The sequence below is a fragment of the Homo sapiens genome, chromosome 12, assembly GCF_000001405.40.
Source record: "Homo sapiens chromosome 12, GRCh38.p14 Primary Assembly".
Lineage (NCBI taxonomy): Eukaryota > Metazoa > Chordata > Mammalia > Primates > Hominidae > Homo > Homo sapiens.
Window position 1 is genome coordinate 1,662,289 of NC_000012.12, and position 20,212 is coordinate 1,682,500.

At 45.2% G+C, this 20,212-nt stretch overlaps 1 annotated feature.

The window, feature by feature from the left end:
• Window positions 6,826–6,875: an enhancer, noted in NCBI's record as "active region_5809". NCBI's record gives its function as "activates an Ori minimal core promoter by ATAC-STARR-seq in GM12878 lymphoblastoid cells {active_cell/tissue: GM12878}" and the evidence as "EXISTENCE:reporter gene assay evidence [ECO:0000049][PMID:35858748]".

Genomic DNA, 20,212 nt, shown 5'->3' on the forward strand with positions numbered 1-20,212 from the left:
TGCGCCTCCGGAGGTTCCGCCGCCCCTTCGCCTCCCCCTCCCCACTTCCCGCCTCCCCCCTCACTTCCCGCCTCCCCCTCCCCACTTCCCGCCTCCCCCCTCACTTCCCGCCTCCCCCTCCCCACTTCCCGCCTCCCCCTCCCCACTTCCCGCCTCCCCCTCCTCACTTCCCGCCTCCCCCTCCTCACTTCCCGCCTCCCCCTCCCCACTTCCCGCCTCCCCCTCCCCACTTCCCGCCTCCCCCTCCCCACTTCCCGCCTCCCCCCTCACTTCCCGCCTCCCCCTCCCCACTTCCCGCCTCCCCCTCACTTCCCGCCTCCTCCTCCCCACTTCCCGCCTCCCCCTCCTCACTTCCCGCCTCCCCCTCCTCACTTCCCGCCTCCCCCTCCTCACTTCCCGCCTCCCCCTCCCCACTTCCCGCCTCCCCCTCCTCACTTCCCGCCTCCCCCTCCTCACTTCCCGCCTCCCTCCTGAGAGGTCCGCTGTCGGGAGAGAGGACTCGGTGTGTGCTCCGCTCGCCCTCCGCGAGATTCCCTCAGGGCACAAGCAGCGCTTCCTGAAGCTCGGTTAGCCCCTCACCCACCAGCTGCAAGGACGGGGACCCTGCCTTTCTTATCGCGCATCGCCCAGGCCCTGGCCGGGAGGAGGGCCTCTAACCGGGAGGGGCTGCCCGCTCTTCCGTGCCCCGCCCCGCAGCGCACCTGCCCGCGAACATGAGGCAGCCGGGGGTCCGCTGGGGCAGAGTGCGGAGTGAAGGGGTGCACTGGGCACTCAGCGCGGCCCTTGGGAGGCAGGGCCGCCCCAGCCTGCCCTCCTGTCTGGGAAGGCCGTCCAGAAGCAGGAGCCCCGGGGAAAACAACTGGCTGGACGGGGCGGCCTTCAGTGTCTCTCCCAGCCTGAGAGTCGCTTCCCACCACCTGGGCACGAACCTGCTCTGCGATCTCCGGCAAGTTCCTGCGCCTCCTGTCGGTAAAATGCAGATCGTGGCGTCTTCCCTGTCCCCTGTGAGGATCGTGAGCCTATGCGTGTGAGGCCACCAAATCCCAATTCGTATGAACGTGCTGGAAGCAAGGGGGTCAGAGCACTTAGCGGCTCTCTCCTCTGGTGGGGAGAAAACAATGATTTTCTTAAGGACACAGTTTGATGGCGGAGGCTCGAGAGCGGCTACAGTTGGGGCCACTGGAGAGAGAGATGGCCTCTGGAAGAGGGTGCTGAGTTATGTAGTGGCCGATTCACTGCAGGCTGCCTGCTAGATTGTAGGCTTGCTGAAGGCAGCACCAGTTATCTGTCGCACTGTTCGCTACAGAATTGTCCGCACCAAGCACAGCATGGACTCTGTTAGCAGTGCAGCAAACATTTGATGAAGGAAGGAAGGAGGGAATTAAAGGAGGAAGAAAGGAAAGGAGAAAGATAAAAAAGGAAGAAAGGAGGAAGGGAAGGAAGGAAGAAAGGAAGGATGGAGGGAAGGAGGGAAGGAAGGAAGGAGGAAAACAGGAGGGAAGGAGGGAAAGGAGGGAAGGAGGAAAACAGGAGGGAAGGAGGGAAGGAAGGAAGGAGGAAAACAGGAGGGAAGGAAGGGGGAAAGGAAGGGAGGAAGGAAGGAAGGAGGCTGCTTAGGGGTAAAACGTCTGTAGGGAGGATGCAGCCGGGCCACGAGCTAATAGAAGGTGCAGAATGTCAAGCTGCTGAGATGGACCATGGAAGGCAAGAAGAATGAGGGAATGCCCACCCAGTCCTCAATGACAAATAATGATCTTGTTTTCTTTTGCTTTTTCCTCGATCTTAATTTTTAATCCCCAATGGCTGAATGATGGTGTTCTGTGCAGACATTTGTGTTCGGGTAGAGAGAAGGGGAAAGAATGGCTGGGACTGGCCCACCATGGCCTTGGGACTGGCCCACTATGGCCCTGCCCTTACAAACTAGAGGAGAGTAATTAAATGAAAACGATGACAAGGATGTACATGTAAAACATTTAAAGGCTGGGCACAGTGGCTCACGCCTGTAATCCCAGCACTTCCGGAGGCCAAGGCAGGTGGGTCACGAGGTCAGCAGTTCGAGACCAGGCTGGTCAACATGGTGAAACCCCATCTCTACTAAAAATACAAAAATTATCCAGGCGTGGTGGTGGGCACCTGTAATCCCAGCTACTTGGGAGGCTGAGGCAGGAGAATCTCTTGACCCGGGAGGCGGAGTTTGCAGTGAGTCGAGACCATGCCATTGCACTCCAGCCTGGGTGACAGTGGGAGACTCTGTCTCAAAAAACAAACAAACAGCAACAACAAAAAACATTTAAAGACACACAAGGCCGGGCGCAGTGGCTCTTGCCTGTAATCCTAGCACTTTGGGAGGCTGAGGCAGGAGGATCGCTTGAGCCCAGGAATTTGAGACCAGCCTGGGCAACATGGTGTAAACGTGTCTCTAAAAAACATAGAAAAATTAGCTGGGCGTGGTGGTGCGCACCTGTGGTCTCAGCTACTCAGGAGGCTGAGGTGGGAGGATCACTTGAGCCCGGGAGGTCGAGGCTGCAGTGAGCTATGATCTCACCACCGTACTCCAGTCTGGGTAACGGAGCAAGACCCTGTTTCAAAAATAAATGAATGAAATAATAAAAATTAAGAACACACAAAAGTAGATTCAAAATATTACACACACTTTTACACCTGTACCTCTCTCTCCATCTTTGTGTATTGGAATGCATGAGTCCACACTGATAATCTCCAAGTCCAGGCCGACAGCATGAGTGCATTCTTGTTTTCTCCCTTTCCCTTCTCTGCCAGTAAGAAACCCGGCTCCACAGGGAGTGAAAAGAATGAAAAAGCAGCAGTAGGTCACTAAGGTCCCAGCTTCCCTGTGCCAGCCCTGCCATGGTGCCTCCAAGGATGCAGACCTGCCTGGGGCAGAGGTCTTTAAGGAGACCAAATTGGAACCAGAAGTTTCTTCAGACTGAAAGAACTCCAGGAAGTGTCAGTGGTTAGGGCAGATTTAGGATACCCTATAAATATACAGTAGGGCAAAGTTAAGTCAAGGGCCCCTGGAGCCTTCGGGGTTATGTTGAACCTCCAGGGTTCACCTGGATTAACTCTGTGGTGGCTTCCAGCTGTTGATCTCACCCTAGACCCAGGAATCTGAGGTATGATTTGAGTTAGAAATGGGAAGTAGGGGAGAAATGAAGAAAATTAGAAGAAAACAGTAAATGTATCACCACTTAAAAACATTAGTATTGATAAAATTGACTTCATAAAAATTAAAAATTTCCATGTGGCAAAAATAGCTGAGTCATAAGTAATTAACTGGGAAAATATTTGCAACACATATGACAGTTAATTTTCTTCACATGCAAAGTACACTTAAGAGTGAATAAGATAATCAGCCCCAAAGAAAAATGGGCAAAAGACCTTAAAAAACCGCAGAAGAAGAAATATATCTGGCTTTCTTTTTTTTTTTTCGAGACAGAGTTTTTGCTCTTGTTGCCCAGGCTGGAGTGCAATGGCATGATCTCAGCTCACTGCAACCTCCGCCTCCCAGGTTCAAGTGATTCTCCTGCCTCAGCCTCCCAAGTAGCTGGGATTACAGACATGTGCCACGACGCCTGGCTAATCTTGTATTTTTAGTAGAGACGGGGTTTCTCCATGTTGGTCAGGCTGGTCTCGAACTCCCGACCTCAGATGATCCACCCACCTCGGCCTCCCAAAGTGCTGGGATTACAGGCATGAGCCACCACCCCCGGCCTGCCTGGCTTTCAAACACATGAGAAGGTGCTTACCCTCACTTATAATAAAAGAAATAATTCTATTATATTTCTAATACATTACCAATACATGGTTTCCAATACATAAATTCAAAGTATAAGAGGTATTTTTTATGTATTAGATGAATAAAAATTAAAAATTTTGATAAATTTGTATGTGAAAGAAGATGTGAAGAAATAGGTGTTCCATGCATTATTGGTGGAAGTAAAAATTGGTGCCCTTTCTTTGAAACTATCAAATGCACATATCTTTTGATCCAGTAAGCCCGCCTCTACAAAATTATCCTACAGATACACTCACGCATGTGCACAAAGATATCGGCACAAGAAATTTCCTGCGGCATTATTTGAGGAGCAAAGTCTAAAAGAACCTGAATGCCTGCCAGTAGGGGGAAGGGATATTAAAAATGATTATTGTGCAAAATGATGCTATATATTGTTCACAGATGTATATATGTATGTATATGACATATAAAAAATTACAGAAAGGGTGTAAATAATTTCCAGTAGCGCTCCCCTCTAAGGATGGGAGGAAGGATGCAGGACTGACCACAAAGGCCACAGAATATTTCAGACTTCATCTGTAGCATTTTACTTATTTTTATGTAAAAAAAGAAAAAAAACAGCTATACTAAATGTTTTTTATCAATTCTGGTTGGTGGAGACTTCATTTATTACACTCTTATTTTTATGTATTTTTTCCAAAAAGCATGATACAGGGGGGTGGGTATAAGATGATATCTTTTGTGTAAAAAGAGGCCCCCTGAGCTTGTTTATGTGTAAATGTCCCTAGAAAGACAGTCAAGGTCACAGTGGCTGGTGTGGCAAAAGGCAACAAGGAAGTGGGTGGGGAGACTGGTTTTTCATTGCACGTTCTTACTGCTTATATATTTTGCCATTTGAATGTTCTGCTTACAAAGAATGATTATAAAAACAAGCAAACAGAAGGCATGCCTCCTGTGCCTGAGAGGACGGGAAGGGGAAAGAAAAGGCTGCTTTCCCTTCTCTGAAGCCTTTGCCTGAGGCCAGTGGGTAAATACTGATGCTGAGAGGAGGGAGGAGAGAAAGGCAGAGAGAGACAGAGACAGAGATGGAGACACACACACACAGAGAGACAGAGACACACAGAGATGGAAACAGGGAGAGAGAGAGACAGAGACGGACAGAGACAGAGGCAGAGAGAGACAGACAGAGACAGAGAGTCCCCTGAGAGGCTGGTCTGCTTTGGAAATATTCATGGTTTGCCCAGAGGAGCAAGCAATGTGGGCCAAGCTAAGAGCCTTGAGAGCTATTAACACACCAAGTAGGTAGTGACCCAGGCAGGAAAAAACACTAAGAAATGTCCAGTGTGGGCCAGGCGTGGTGGCTCATGCCTGTACTCCCAGCACTTTGGGAGGTTGAGGAGGGAGCATCGCTTGAGGCCAGGAGCTCACGACCAGGCTGGGCAACAAAGTGAGACCCCCATCTCTCCCAAGAAGTAAAAAAAAAATTAGCCAGATATGGTGGTGCATGCCTGTAGTCCCAGATACTTGGGAGGGTGAGGCAGGAAGATCACTTGAGCCTGGGAGGTTGAGGCCGCAGTGAGCCATGATTGCGCCAGTGCACTCCAGCCTGGGCAACAGAGGGAGGTTCCATCTCAAAAAGAAAAAAATATATATCCAGTGTGGCCAAGATATTTTAGGGTGAGGAGAAGGATCAGGAAGCCTCCTGGCCAGACTTTCAGCCTGCAATCCTATCCTCAGTATCTGAGACTACCAAATCCTCAACAAGAAACAAAAACTGAGGGTCCAAACGATGAAAAACAAACCGTAAAGAACGAATTACCCACGTGAATAAACTTTGAAGGCGTTGCGCTAAGGGAAATGAGCTAGTCACAAAGGACGACTACTCTCTCTACGATTCCACTCATATGAGGTACTACGAATAGTCAAATTCAGAGACAGCAGAACGGTGGCCACCAGTGGCTGGCAGGGCAGGATGGGGCGTTAGTGTTCAATGGGGACAGAGTTTCAGTTGGGAAAGAAAGAAAGTTTCTGTAGATGAATGGTGGTGATGGTGGCACAAAAATGTGAGTGCACTTAATGGCACAGAACTGTTCACTTGAGCATTTTAAAATTGTTATTTTTTTAGAGACAGGTTCTTGCTCTGTCACACAGGCTGGAGGGCAGCGGTGTGATCAGAGCTCACTATAGCATTGAACTCCTAGGCTCAAGTGATCTTCCTGCCTCGGCCTCCCAAGGAGCTGGAACTACTTGCCCAGTGTGCCACGATGCCCAGATAATTAAAAAAAAAAAAACCTTTTATTTTTATTTTTATTTTTTTAGAGATGAAGTTGCTATGTTGGCCAAGCTGGTTTCAAACTCCTGGCCTCCAATGATCCTCCCATCTCAGCCTCCCAAAGCTTGGGATTACAGGTGTCAGCCACTGTGCCCAGGCCTACTTAAAAATCGTTAAAATAGTATATGTTATTTTATACATATTTTACCACAATTTTAAAAATAAAAGAGTTACCCTCCCAGTTGACTGACAATCCTGGTATGCCTAAAACCTTTCACTAGACATTTAACCAGTCTTACTACCTCCTCCTGATCTTCAACTAAACCCTCCTCTGTCTTTTTCCTGTAAATTTTCTGCCAACACTGTGAAATACAACTTTGATACACACTTACATATGTTTTAAAAACACCTAATAACAACAACAGAACTAAACTAAAAATAACAGACAACTCCCATGTGCTGGAGGCAGTGAATCTCAGGTTTCCTTCACACAAAGCGGAAATGGCCAGTAAACCCACTTTGTTTCCCCACTGGCCAAGGGAGAAAAGCCGCACTGCAGACACCCACCCGACCCTTCGACCTCCAGACAGACACAGTGCTTTCTAACAAAACAAAAACAAACGAAAAACAACCCAACGGCTTAAAACCACAAAAGAAACCTTTACCCAATCCAAGCGACCCCTTGCTTCCGTTTGGGCAGATGGCATTTCACCACTTTTTGACCTTTCAACCAGTACCCTTGCTGAATTTCTTTCCAAAGCCAGAGTCATAATACGTGAGAGCGAGCATTTCTCAAGTGCTGGGCTTCAGGGAGGGCCCTGGTCTTTGGACGGTGAACAGAACTGGGGCAGAGGGAGTCCTATCTCGAGGAGATGACGCTGCTGCCCTACAGTAGCCAGCGCTGCTTTTGTAACTCTAGCGATGGCCCAATCTCTGATTGCCCCCACTCTGATCAGCCCTCTTTATTTTAGTCTCGCCTTTGAAATAAGTCTGGGTGACAGCCAAGATGTCCAGTGGCCAAGTCATGCTATGCCACTTCTACCAATGAGATGGTCCCTCCAGCCTCAGCCAGCAGAGACTGTCCTCTGGACCTAGAGCCCCACGAGTGGTGCCACGAGAGCAGCACCTGGGGCCCCACGACCTGGAAGTGTAATTAGTTTCAGACTCAGATAGAGAAATGGAAAGTCCTGATATTGATTGGAAAGCCTAGTTATAATATTCCTAATCTGGCTTGATCCTTGTCTAAAAAGACCTTTTATTTTAGTTGTAGCTTATTTGCCTGGCAAACAGGAGCTCTGGTTTAGGGAGGAGGAATGGGAATGGGGAGAAGTAGGCTATTATAATAATTGAGTACAATTTGAATCCTTTACACATTATGGCTTTTTCGTTTTTTTTTGTTTTTGAGATAGTCTCGCTCTGTCACCCAGGCAGGAGTGTAATGGTGTGATCTTGGCTCACTGCAACCTCCACCTCCTGGGCTCAAGCGATTCTCCTGCCTCAGCCTCCTGATCAGCTGGGACTACAGGCACCTGCCACCATGCCAGGCTATTTTTTTTGTATTTTTAGTAGAGACAGGGTTTCACTATATTGGCCAGGCTGGTCTCAAACTCCTGACCTCATGATCCACCCGTGTCGGCCTCCCAAAGTGCTGGGATTACAGGCGTGAGCCACCGCAATCGGCCCCACATTATGTTTTTAATCACCCTCAAATAGATGCTAATAAGTTGTCAGAAACATCATGAGCTGTTGCTGGGATACAGCCCTTTCACAGCCCAAAGAGCCCCTTGACACATCTTGTTTTTTTCTGGTGAAAAAATAAGAGGACTCATTTTAGTTAGACTCATTCACAAAAACCAGGCGGGCTCATTCTAGAGTCATATGGCCTCCAAAAGCTCAGACCAGAAGCGTACTGTGCTCCTGTCACACTCTAATCTGACTCTCTTTCTGGAAGAATTTGGAGAGGTGAGTGCCAATATCATATTACTTTCTCAGGCTGAGAATTTGAGGGTGGAGTCCGGCAGGCTCCTGAGGGAAAGAGAATAAACCAGGAGGAAAGGGGAGCTCGAGCTCGGCCCTTTGGTTTTCCTTGGAGGCCTTGCTTGGGGGCCAAAGGTTCTTGGCCTGCGTCCTCCCCTCCTTCTCCCTGGGCACTCAGTAGCAGAGTGCCAGCCTCGCTTCCACTGCAGGCAACCCCACACTGCCCCTCGGGCATCCTCTCCCCCTCACTCACTCACAGCTCATTCGAAAAGGCTTTACTCACCAACTTTAAGTTAATTGCTTCAACTAAATTACACCTTTTTTTCATATGAAGTCGCAGATGTGTTCCCAGATGGTGCCTGGCCTGGTGTTCTGAGTCATGGGTCTACAGAGGCCGCCACACCTTGACACCTGGTGAAAGGTCGCCACAGTGCCCTCGCTTGTGATTAGCCCTTTGTAAGTGCAGTGCTCATTTTACCCTGTGGTTCTGAACAAGCAGGAATGACTGAATCCTGAAGTTGAAGTAGCGTAGCTTTTCCCTGAGATTCAGATGTGTTTACTTTTACACCTTTAAAAAAAAACAACTTTATCAATACAGCTTCACAGACATCACTGCTCCCGCCGTTGCTTTTTCTAGCTTTTAAGGCTGGACATATACCAAGCAAGCTCCCCATCACCACCAGGCCCTTGCCCAGGTCCACAACAGGGATCAGAAACTTCAGCCTAAGCCCCACTGCTGTGGCTCAGGTGCCATCAACAAGTCTTACCAAAGCAGGAACTTTTCTAAGCTTCTAGAATGTAGTTGTCATACCTTGACTAGCTGTCATCAACTCCCTCCCCACGGAATAGTAGCTCTGCATACCTGCTGAGATCCTGCCATAAATGGTCAGGCCACCAGCAATTACACTGTTGCCACACCCTGACTTTTTTTTTTTTTTGAGATGGAGTCTTGCTCAAGGAACTTAGTACTTCATACACCACCACCCTATCTAACATGCTATTTTGCAGTGATACTTCATATCTTTACATATCCATCATCAATGTAACATACAGTTATACAGCGAATGCATGTTTAGATTTATTTAAAGCTTTATTAGTTTCTTTGCTCACCATTGCTTTCCATTTTTTGGAGGGATCACTCTTTTTTTTTTCTTTTGTGTGCATGTGTATGTGTATGAGAAACAGATCATACATGAAAAATAAATGAAAAACTATGCACATATCGCAGTATTGGTGGATGAATACTATGATGTCTGAGATACATCTCAGAATAATCTGGGAGGGGAGAAAGTGAGTGACGGTGGAGATAAAATAAAATTGGTTGTGTACTAATAATTATTTAATAATTATTAAAGTTGTGGCTGGGTGCAGTGGTTCACACCTGTAATCCCAGTACTCTGGGAGGCTGAGGCAGGTGGACTGTTTGAGCCCAGGAGCTGGAGACCAGCCTGGGCAACATGGCAAAACCCTGTCTCTACTAAAACTACAAAAATTAGCTGAACGTGGTGGTGTGGGCCTGTAATCCCAGCTACTTGGGAGGCTGAGGTGGGAGGATTGCTTCAGCCCTGGGGGCGGAGGTTGCAGTGGGCCAAGTCTGTGCACTGCACTCCAGCCTGGGCGACAGAGCAAGACCCAGTCTAAAAAGAAAAAAAAAGAAAAATTGAATTTGTGTACTGATACTTATTTAATAATTATTAAAGCTGTGGGCCGGGTGCGGTGGTTCACGCCTGTAATCCTAGCACTTTGGGAGGCCGAGACGGACGTATCACGAGGTCAGGAGATCGAGACCATCTTGGCTAACACGGTGAAACGCCGTTTCTACTAAAAATACAAAAAATTAGCCGGGCGTGTTGGCGGGCGCCTGTAGTCCCAGCTACTCGGGAGGCTGAGGCAGGAGAATGGCGTGAACCTGGAAGGTGGAGCTTGCAGTGAGCTGAGATCGCGCCACTGCACTCCAACCTGGGGGACACAGCGAGACTCCGTCTCAAAAAAAAAAAACAAAAAAAAGCTGTGTACTAATAACTATTAAAGCTGGAGTATAGATACAGGGAGCTAGCTCTATTTTTGTATGTGTTTGACATTTTTGTATGTGTTTGTGTTTGAAATTTTGTATGTGTTTGAAATTTTACATGTTAAAGGATATAGAAAAAAGTAAAAGGTCCTGGGGCTCAATGTTCACCCTGCAGCTGACGAGTTGTGTCACTTTTTTTTTTTTTTTTGAGATGGAGTCTTGCTCTGTCACCCAGGCTGGAGTGTAATGGCGTGATCTCAGCTCACTGCAACCTCCGCCTCCCGGGTTCAAGTGATTCTCCTGCCTCAGCCTCCGGAGTAGCTGGGATTACAGGTGTGCACCACCACGCCCAGCTGATTTTTGTATTTTTAGTAGAGAAAGGGTTTCACCATGTTGTCCAGGATAGTCTCCATCTCTTGACCTCAACTGATCTGCCCGCCTTGGCCTCCCAAAGTGCTGGGATTACAGGTGTGAGCCACCGCGCCAGGCCCGAGCTGTGTCACTTTTTATAAGTCACTTCCTTCCTCTGCACCTTGGTTTCTTTCTCTCTAAAATAATGCAGTTTGACTAGACAATCATTTAAGATCCCTTCCTGCTTTGACAGGGTGAGATATCATTAATCTTTTGTGTTGTTTCTGTTATTTTGTTTTTTACTAAGATAAAATTTACATCCCATATAATTTGCCTTTTTTTTTTCTTTTTTTTTTTGAGATGGGGTCTCACTCTGTCGCCCAGGCTGGAGTGCAGTGGCACAGTCTCAGCTCACAGCAACCTCTACCTCCCAGGTTCAAGCGATTCTCCTGCCTCAGCCTCCTGAGTAGCTGGGATTACAGGCGCCTGCCCCAACGCCTGGCTAATTTTTGTATTTTTAGTAGAGACGGGGTTTCACCATGTTGGCCAAGCTGGTCTTGAACTCCTGACCTCAAGTGATTTGCCTGCCTCGGCCTCCCAAAGTGCTAGGATTACAGGCGTGAGCCACTGTGCCCAGCTGTGAAGTGGTATCTTGTTGTGATTTTGACTTTCATTTCCCTAATGACTAATGATATTGGACATTTTTCATGCCCTCTTATAGATCTTCTTTGAAGAAAAGTCTATTCAAATCTTTTGCCCATTTTTAGATTGAGTTATTTATTTATTTATTTATTTATTTTGAGACAGAGTCTCAGTCTGTCTTCCAGGCTGGAGTGCAGTGGTACAATCTCAGCTCACTGCAACCTCTGCCTCCCAGGTTCAAGTGATTCTCCTGCCTCAGCCTCCCAAGTAGCTGAGACTGCAGGTGCCTGCCAGTATGCCTGGCTAATTTTTATATTTTTGTAGAGATGGGGTTTCACCATGTTGGCCAGGCTGGTCTTGAACTCCTGACCTGTGACCCGCCCTCCTCAGCCTCCCAAAGTAATGGGATTACAGGTGTGAGCCACCACACCCAGCCGAGTTATTTATCTTTTTATTGTTGAGGTATAGGAGCTCTTTATATATTCTAGATATAAAACCCTTATTAAATACATGATTTGTAAATATTTTCTCCCATTTTGGGTTGTTTTTTCGCTTTCTTGATACATAACAGCCTTTACTTTTGGTGAAACCTAATTTATCTAATTATCCTTGGTTGCTTGCATTTTAGATATTATACCTAAGAAATGATTGCCTATTCCAATATCACAAATATTTACCCCTATATTTTCTTCTAAGAATTTTTATAGTTTTTGCTCTTACATTTAGGTCTTTGATCATTTGAGTTTATTTTTGTATATAGTGTGAAGGTGTGAATTTAGGGGGTCTAAATTCACTATTTTGCATATGTATATCTGTTGTCCAAGCACCATTTGTTGAAAAGACTGACCTTTCCCCACTGAACGGTCTTGCCACTCTTGTCAGAGATTGACCATGGATGTATCAGCTTACATCTGGACTCTCCATTCTGTTGCATTGAAATATACATGTTTATTTTTATGTCACTACCACACTGTCTTCATTAGTGTAGCTTTAAAGTAAGTTTTGAAATTGGGAAGTGTGAGCCCTCTAACTTTTATCTTCTTTTTCAAGATTGTTTTGGTTATTCTGGGTCCTTGCTTTTCCATGTGAGTTTCAGGATCACTTTGTCTATTTCTGCAAAAAAAAAAAGTAGTTGGAATTCATGAATCTTTAATTCACACCAAACTCCTCACTACAATGTCCTCTATGAGAACTAGCACGTTGTCTAACTTGGTCATTGTTGTATCTCCAACACCTAGCACAGGCCTGACCTAGAGTAAGCTCTTAATATTTAATGAATGAATGGCAAGAAAAAAAAGCACAGTTTAGAGAATAGCAATAAAATGTACCCAAAGGAACATTACCATACCTCAGAAGCCACCTGCATGCCACTCCATGATGAACTTCTCCATCATTTCTGTTTTTTTGAGACAGAGTCTCACTCTGTCACCCAGGCTGGAGTGCAGGGGCGTGATCTCGGCTCACTGCAACCTCTGCTTCCCAGGTTCAAGCAATTCTCCCACCTCAGCCTCCTGAGTAGCTGGGACTACAGGCTCACACCAGCACACCCGGCTAATTTTTGTATTTTTAGTAGAATCGGGGTTTCGCCATTTGGCCAGGCTGGTCTTGAACTCCTTATCTCAGGTGATCCACCTGCCTCGGTCTCCCAAAGTGCTGGGATTACAGGCGTGAGCCACCGCGCCTGGATCCCTCCATCATTTCTTTGCTTTTAAAAAAATAACAAACTGTGGCCAAGCAGAGGCAGGTGGATCACCTGAGGTCAGGAGTTCGCCACCAACCTGACCAACATGCTAAAACCCCGCCTATACTAAAAATACAAAATTAGCCAGGCGTGGTGGCACATGCCTGTAATCCCAGCTACTCGGGAGGCTGAGGCAGGAGAATTGTTTGAACCCGGGGCGGGGGCGGAGGCTGCAGTGAGCCAAGATCACATCACCACACTCCAGCCTGAGTGACAAAGCAAGACTCCGTGTCAAAAAATAAATAAATAGGCCGGCATGGTGGCTCAGGCCTGTAATCCCAGCACTTTAGGAGGCCGAGGCGGACGGATCATGACGTCAGGAGATTGAGACCATCCTGGCTAACATGTGAAACCCTGTCTCTACTAAAAATACAAAAAATTAGCTGGGCATGGTGGTGGGCACCTGTAGTCCCAGCTACTTGGGAGGCTGAGGCAGGAGAATAGCGTGAACCCAGAAGGTGGAGGTTGCAGTGAGCCGACATCACACCACCACACTCCACCAGCCTGGGCGACACAGCAAGACTCTGTCTCAAAAAATAAAAATAAAAATAAAATAAAATAAATAAATCAATAGCACCTTATTTATTTATTTGGGTTATTTCCAGGCTTTTGCTATAATAAATCATGATGTTGTTACATATTTCCTTATGTCCCTCATACAGGAGGTTCTATGCCTAGCAGTGGAATTCTGGGGTCTTAGGATATGCACGTATTCAACTATACCTGGTAATCCAAACCTTGCTCCAAAGTGGGTATACAAATTTACATTTCCACCCAAAGTAGGTGAGAATTATTACCATTGTTCTTTCCTTCTGGGTTCAGTTTTCTTCTTCTGCAAGTATACACTTTAGCTGTTTTTTTTGTTTTTTTTTTTTCAGAGAGGAACCGAATGTTAAACTCTCCTGGTCTTTGTTTTATTGAAAATGTCTTTATTTTATTGAAAACATCTTTATTTTGTTTGCACTCTTGAGTGAGAACTTCTATGAATATAGAATTCTAGATTGATAATGTTTTTGTTTTTTTCTCAATACTTTGAAAATACTATTCCATTATCTTTGGGCCTTTATTGTTGGATTTAATTGTAGTTCTTTTGTCTTCTGTCTCTGGTAGCTTCTAAGATTTTTGTCTGTGGTGCCTGCAATTTCACCATGATACGTCTAGGTGTAAATTTCTTCTTGTTTATTGGTTTGGCACTTGTCATGATTTCTGAGTCTGAGGATTCATATCTTTCATCAATTCTCGGAATTTTTTTTTAATTCTGGGAAATTATCAGTGATGATCTCTTGAATATTTATGATCCTCCGTTCTCTCCCTTTTCTCCTTCTGGATTACCTATGAGTGTTACAGTAGACATATTATCCTCCTTGCTTCCAAATCTCTCTCTCTTTTTTTTTTCCCTAGACAGAGTCTTGCTCTGTCACCCAGGCTGGAGTGCAGTGGCGTGATCTTGGCTCACTGCAACCTCTGCCTCCCAGGTTCAAGCAATTCTTCTGCCTCAGCCTCCCGAGTAGCTGGGACTACAGGTGTGTACCACCACGCCTGGCTGATTTTTGTATTTTTAGTAGAGATGGGGTTTCACCATATTGGCCAGGCTGGTCTCAAACTCCTGACCTAAAATATCCACCCGGCTCGGCCTCCCAAAGTGCTGGGATTACAGGCGTGAGCCACGGCACCCGGCCGCCAAATCTCTATTTTCTGTTTCTCATTTTATGCTGTCTTCTGGGTAAATTCAACCAGCTGATTTGGCTGTGTCGAATCTGCCGTTTAACTTATTCACTAAGTTTTATTTATAATTTCTGGAAGTTTGATTGTTTTGCATTTCTACCTGTTCTTATTTCATTCACTCTTGTTTATTCTTGCATTTCTTCTTTTACACATTTTAAATGTGTAAAAATACACATACACATTAAAAATACTAACTTTATCGTATATCCTCTATCATATTGTTCTAAAAGTAAACCTTAAGCTCACATAAGGCACAGGCTCATGGTTATTAATTCCTCAGGGAAGGTTTTTTTTTTTCCCCTTGTCCCCTACCTTCTAGAGCAAATGAAGCTTGAATTCACAGGTACTGTAGTGGTCTTGGTTCCCTTTGTGTTTCAGGCACCTAGTTATTTAACTTTCTTTCTTGAGTGTTCAGCTTTGTATTTATTTTAGTTTTTGGAGACAGAATCTCATTCTGTCACCCAGGCTGGAGTGTAGTGGCATATCCATAGCTCACTGCAACCTCAAGCTACTGGGTTCAAGAGATCCTCCCACCTAAGTCTCCCAAGGAGCTAGGCCTACGGGTACATGCCACCATGCTTGTTTTGTAGAGATGGGGGTCTTGCTATGTTGTCTAGGTTGGTCTCGAACTCCTGGCTTCAAGTGATCCTCCTGCCTTGGGCTCCCAAAGTGTGCTGGGATTACAGGCAGGAGCTACTGCACCCAACCTGGCTTTTTTTTCCCCCTGAGATGGAGTCTCACTCTGTCGCCCAGGCTGGAGTGCAGTGGTGCGATCTCGGCTCACTGCAACCCCCCGCTCCCGGGTTCAAGCGTTTCTCTTGCCTCAGCCTCCCAAGTAGCTGGGATTACAGGTGCCCACCACCACACCTGGCTAATTTTTGTATTTTTAGTAGAGATGGGGTTTCACCATGTTGGCCAGGCTAGTCTTAAACTCCTGACCTCGTGATCTGCCCGCCTTGGCCTCCCAAAGTGCTGGGATTACAGGTGTGCACCACCCCGCCCGGCCCTGGCTTTGTATTTAAAAGAAGCCTTATTGAGTTTACTCAGCAGTTGTAGGTGTTTGTAGCAGGATAATTTTCAGATTATCTGGTCTGCCCATTTGTTAAACTTGAGATCTATTAATTAACTCTATGTTTTCATTAAGCCATTTTTTATTATGGTAAAATACACATACCATAAAAATTATTAATTAACATTTAATAGGATGAGTAAAATTGCAGACAGAGAGCCCATTTCAGTCGTGCCACTGCACTCCAGCATGGGCAACAGAGCGAGACTCTCTCTCAAAAAAAAAAAAGAGCCCATTTTAGTTGCTGTGTGAGGAAGGACTTCGTAATAGGCTAGTAGGAAGCAAAGGATTTCCAAGGAAGGAGAGAGAGGCAGAAAGTGAAGAATATATTTTGGGAATGGTAAATAGTTGGTTTGGCAGGAGCTTGGTACGTGGTACATGTAATAATAATGTGAGTGAATTTCTGAAATATTAAGTTAGGGCCAGATTGTGGAGAGCCTTGGATTTCAGCTTAAAGGAATTCGGACTTTGAGAGCTTTTGAAAGTTTTTGAACTTAACTCATTTTGAAAGTGGGTCTTGGCAGCAGTAGATGGAGTGGATTGGAGGATGTTGAGATTGACGACAGGGAGACCAATTAGGAACATATTGGAGTAGTCCAGGGAGGCATGAAGGCACAGAATAGGGATAAGGTCTGACAAAGGCTCAGAGCTGTTGAAATGACCAAAGCATAATTGTAGTTATTAACCAAATTGGGGACAAGAGGAGATGCCAATACAGACATATGACAGCATTCTCTAGAGTAAGTCACTTCCCAGCGGAATAGCATTATGAACTCTTAGAGACTTGCTGGTGTCTTCTAATGAAGTCACATGCTGTTTATAAAATGTCGGCTAATTGGCCTATGGAGCCATCCAGAGCCCTCCTTTGATCTGAACCCAGACTTGAAAAAGCATGCGTCAGTGCAATTTGAAAAACAGTATTAAAATAGAGAAAGTAGAGTAAAACAGATAGATCTGTAGCTCTACAGAGTATAAACAACCGTTTTTAGCATCAGCTCAAAGAGTTTTAAGTGGTCTCCCGTTATTTGCTTCTACCCTTAATAAGATCTTCTAAAATCATTGCTCTGGACTTTCAATCTTCAAATTTCTTAGCAGGACAATTTAATCATCACCTATTTCTATTGGGTTATATATCTTTTTTTTTTTTTTTTTTTTTTTGAGACAGAGTCTTGGTCTGTTGCCCAGGCTGGAGTGCAGTGGCGCCATCTCGGCTCACCGCAACCTCCGCCTCCCGGGTTGAAACAATTCTCCTGCCTCAGCCTCCTGAGTAACTGGGATTACAGGCATGCACCACCTCGCCCAGCTACTTTTTGTATTTTTAGTAGAGACCGGGTTTCACCATGGTGGTCAGGCTGGTCTCAAACTCCTTACCTTGTGATCTGCCTGCCTTGGCCTCCCAAAGTGCTGGGATTATAGGCATGAGCCACCGCACCCAGCCTGGGTTTTATATCTAGTTAGCATGGTGACAACCCAGATAACTTGGTTTGCATTTGTTTTCCCATTGCTCTAGTATGTTCCAAGGTCGTTTTCATATATATCCTGTATGTGAATTCCCCTTTCCCAAATTGTTGTGGATTGTATCATAACTTGTCAATTAGCTAAATGTAAATGAGCATCAGCTTTCTAGAGATTTAATTTTTTTTTAGCGTTTAATTGCTGAATGGAAAGCAATAGCACTATGAAGCCAAGAAGTTATTTGGAGAAGAACTTGAATTGCTTGATTCTGAGGATGGGTAATCAAAATGTGATTGTGAAGAAATGGAGTTATTGTATATGTTATATATAATTTATTATATATGTTATATATAATTTATTACATATATATTTAAAACTTGAATGATATATTGAAATTACATTGAGCGTACTAATAAAAAGCATTCAGATACACTTGGCTCCCTTTTTCCCCTTTCCTTCCTTCTATTAACAATTATTGAGCACTCAGTGTGGGCCAGGCACTGTGTTATATGCTGGAAGTTATAGTGGTTTATTCTTCAATTTTGAAATAATTTGGCAGTTGATAAAAATCTTTAAAGTTTGTTTTTTTTAAAATAGTCAGTTCTGGCCGGGCGCGGTGACTCACTCCTGTAATCCCAGCACTTTGGGAGGCCAAGGTGGGTGGATCACCTGAGGTCGAGAGTTCGAGATTAGCCTGGCTAACATGGTGAAACCCTGTCTCTACTAAAAATGCAAAATTAGCTGGGCATGGTGGTGCACGCCTGTAATCCCAGCTACTCGGGAGGCTGAGGCAGGAGAATTGCTTGAACGGGGGAGGCGGAGGTTGCAGTGAGCTGGAATTGTGCCACTGCACTCTAGCCTGGGCGACAGAGTAAGACTCCGTCTCAAAAAAAGTCAGTTCTTGGATTTTGATGACATGGTACTATGTAGGGCTTACAGGGTTATTAGTGCCCTGAGTCCACACTTCACAGAGTTATTAGATTTAAATTTTCAAATTTTATTTTAGAGACAGGGTCTTTTTCTGTTGGCCAGACTGGAGTGCAGTGGTGCAATCATAGCTGACTGAAGCCTGGAACTCCTGGGCTCAAGCAATGCTCCCACTTCAGCCTCCTGAGTAGGTCGGACTACAGGTATGCACCACTACACCTGGCTAGTTAAAAAAAATTTTTTTTTGTAGAGACAAGGGCCTTACCATTTGCCCAGGCTGGTACTGAACTCCTAGGTTCAGGCAATCTTCCCACCTCGTCTTCCCAAAGTGTTGGGATTACAGGCATGAGCCACCTTGCCCGGCCTCATCATTAGACTTAAAGATCTTTTTGTCTTTGGTAGTTGTTTTACAATTTTAAACAACTAGTGGCTGTAGTAGGCATTCTTAACCAGGAATAAAGTCATAAATGTAAATGTATGGTCTCGGAGGAGCAGGGGCAGTCCTCTGTGAATCTGTAAATATTTGGTGTATATAGTTATTTTTCTGAGGGTATAGATGCTCAAAGGAGCCTATAACCCAAAAAAGGTTCAGAGCAACTGTTTGCCTTGCTTCATTCAGCTTCCAGAATAGTGGCCTTTGTTACGTAGACTAGTGACTATGTGCTTGGGCATTACAGTCACACTCCCTGTATTTGAATCCTGGCTCTGCTATGTAATAGCTGTGTGACCTTAAACAAGTCATTTAACCCCCTGTGCCTCAGTTTCCTCATCTGTAAAATGGCGATAACAATAGTATTTATGTCATGGCGTTGTGGTGAGGATTACATGAGTTAACGTATATAAATTACTCAAAAAATGCTCAGCACATAGTAAATATTCTATACATATATCAGCTATTGTTATTATAATAATTACATGGGTATGGCATTGATGGTAATGATGGTGAAAACCATGATGACTTCTGCCTTCCTGAAGCCACTTAAGAGTGAGTAACAACAGCCAAAGTTACTTAGGAATAAAAGATTAAAAAAAAAAAAAGGAGCATGACAATGGACGGCCACAATAAATGTTACCCAGCTGGTCATTCTAGGAAAAGCTGATACCGCCCTTCCCTTCCTGTTCTAGTTTATGGCCAGCCAGGCTCTGAAGGTTCGACAGTCTGACTCAACCACTGAGAGGAATATATTCCAGTTGAAGCACAGTGGCAAGAGCAATTTGTTTTTTAGATTTAGCTGAAATATATTCTGATTCTATTTTTTAGCCTTGGATGGAACTGGCTGTTTGCCACGGTTTGTTTTTTCCCCATGGAATGTGTGTTGTTGATGCTCTACCATGATAGACAGCAAGTGGGGAAATGGGAACTTTTATTAGCTGACCTAAAGCTCGTCTCTCCTAGTTCTGCCACAAAACACTCTGGCAGTCTTAAGAGACATGTCCTGTATCTCCATCTCCACCTACTGACCTCCCCAGCTGAAAGGGTTAGGCAAAGTAAATCAGCTTAGAATTTATTCCAAAGGTCTTTGACTTTTTCTAGCTTTTAATGACCAAAGTTTTCAGATAATTGAGTTTCAGGGCTATCTGATCACCTTTGTTGGGTCAATTTTGCCTCTCCTCAAATGCCTGAGAATGATGTTTTTTTCATGTATTATTTTTGGGGTCTCTACTTTTTTTCTTTATCCCTTCCTTGCACAAATAACTGCCAGTTCCTGAAGCCACTGCCCCCAGGAATTTGCTTCCTGTAACAACAGGTACTTCTCTGTCTGGGCTCTCCCTCTGGAAAAAGCTCATTCAAGGATCCCCTGATTCCAAAGTGCCAAGTAGAAATTGTATAAATTGAATTAATTCAGATGCTGTGTATCAGGCTTAAAATCCAATAGATATGTAGGTAATTGTCTGAATATTTTCCGCAGTAAAAGACTGAAGTCTAAGGTCTAACTCCCATTGCAGTACATAAATTGCAGTGCCCAGTGCAAAGGGAAAATGAAGGGTCTCTTATTCAAAAGTTATTAAAAATTTCAAGACAGTAACAACAGAGCATCAAACCAAGAATAGGGGCCAGGCGCGGTGGCTCATGCCTGTAATCCCAGCACTTTGGGAGGCCGAGGTGGGCAGATCACCTGAGGTCAGGAGTTCAAGACCAGCCTGGCCAACATGGTGAAACCCCATCTCTACTAAGAATACAAAAAATTAGCTGGGTGTGGTGGTGCATACTTGTAATACCAGCTACTTGGGAGGCTGAGGCAGGAGAATCGCTTGAACCTCAGAGGCAGAGGTTGCAGTGAGGTGAG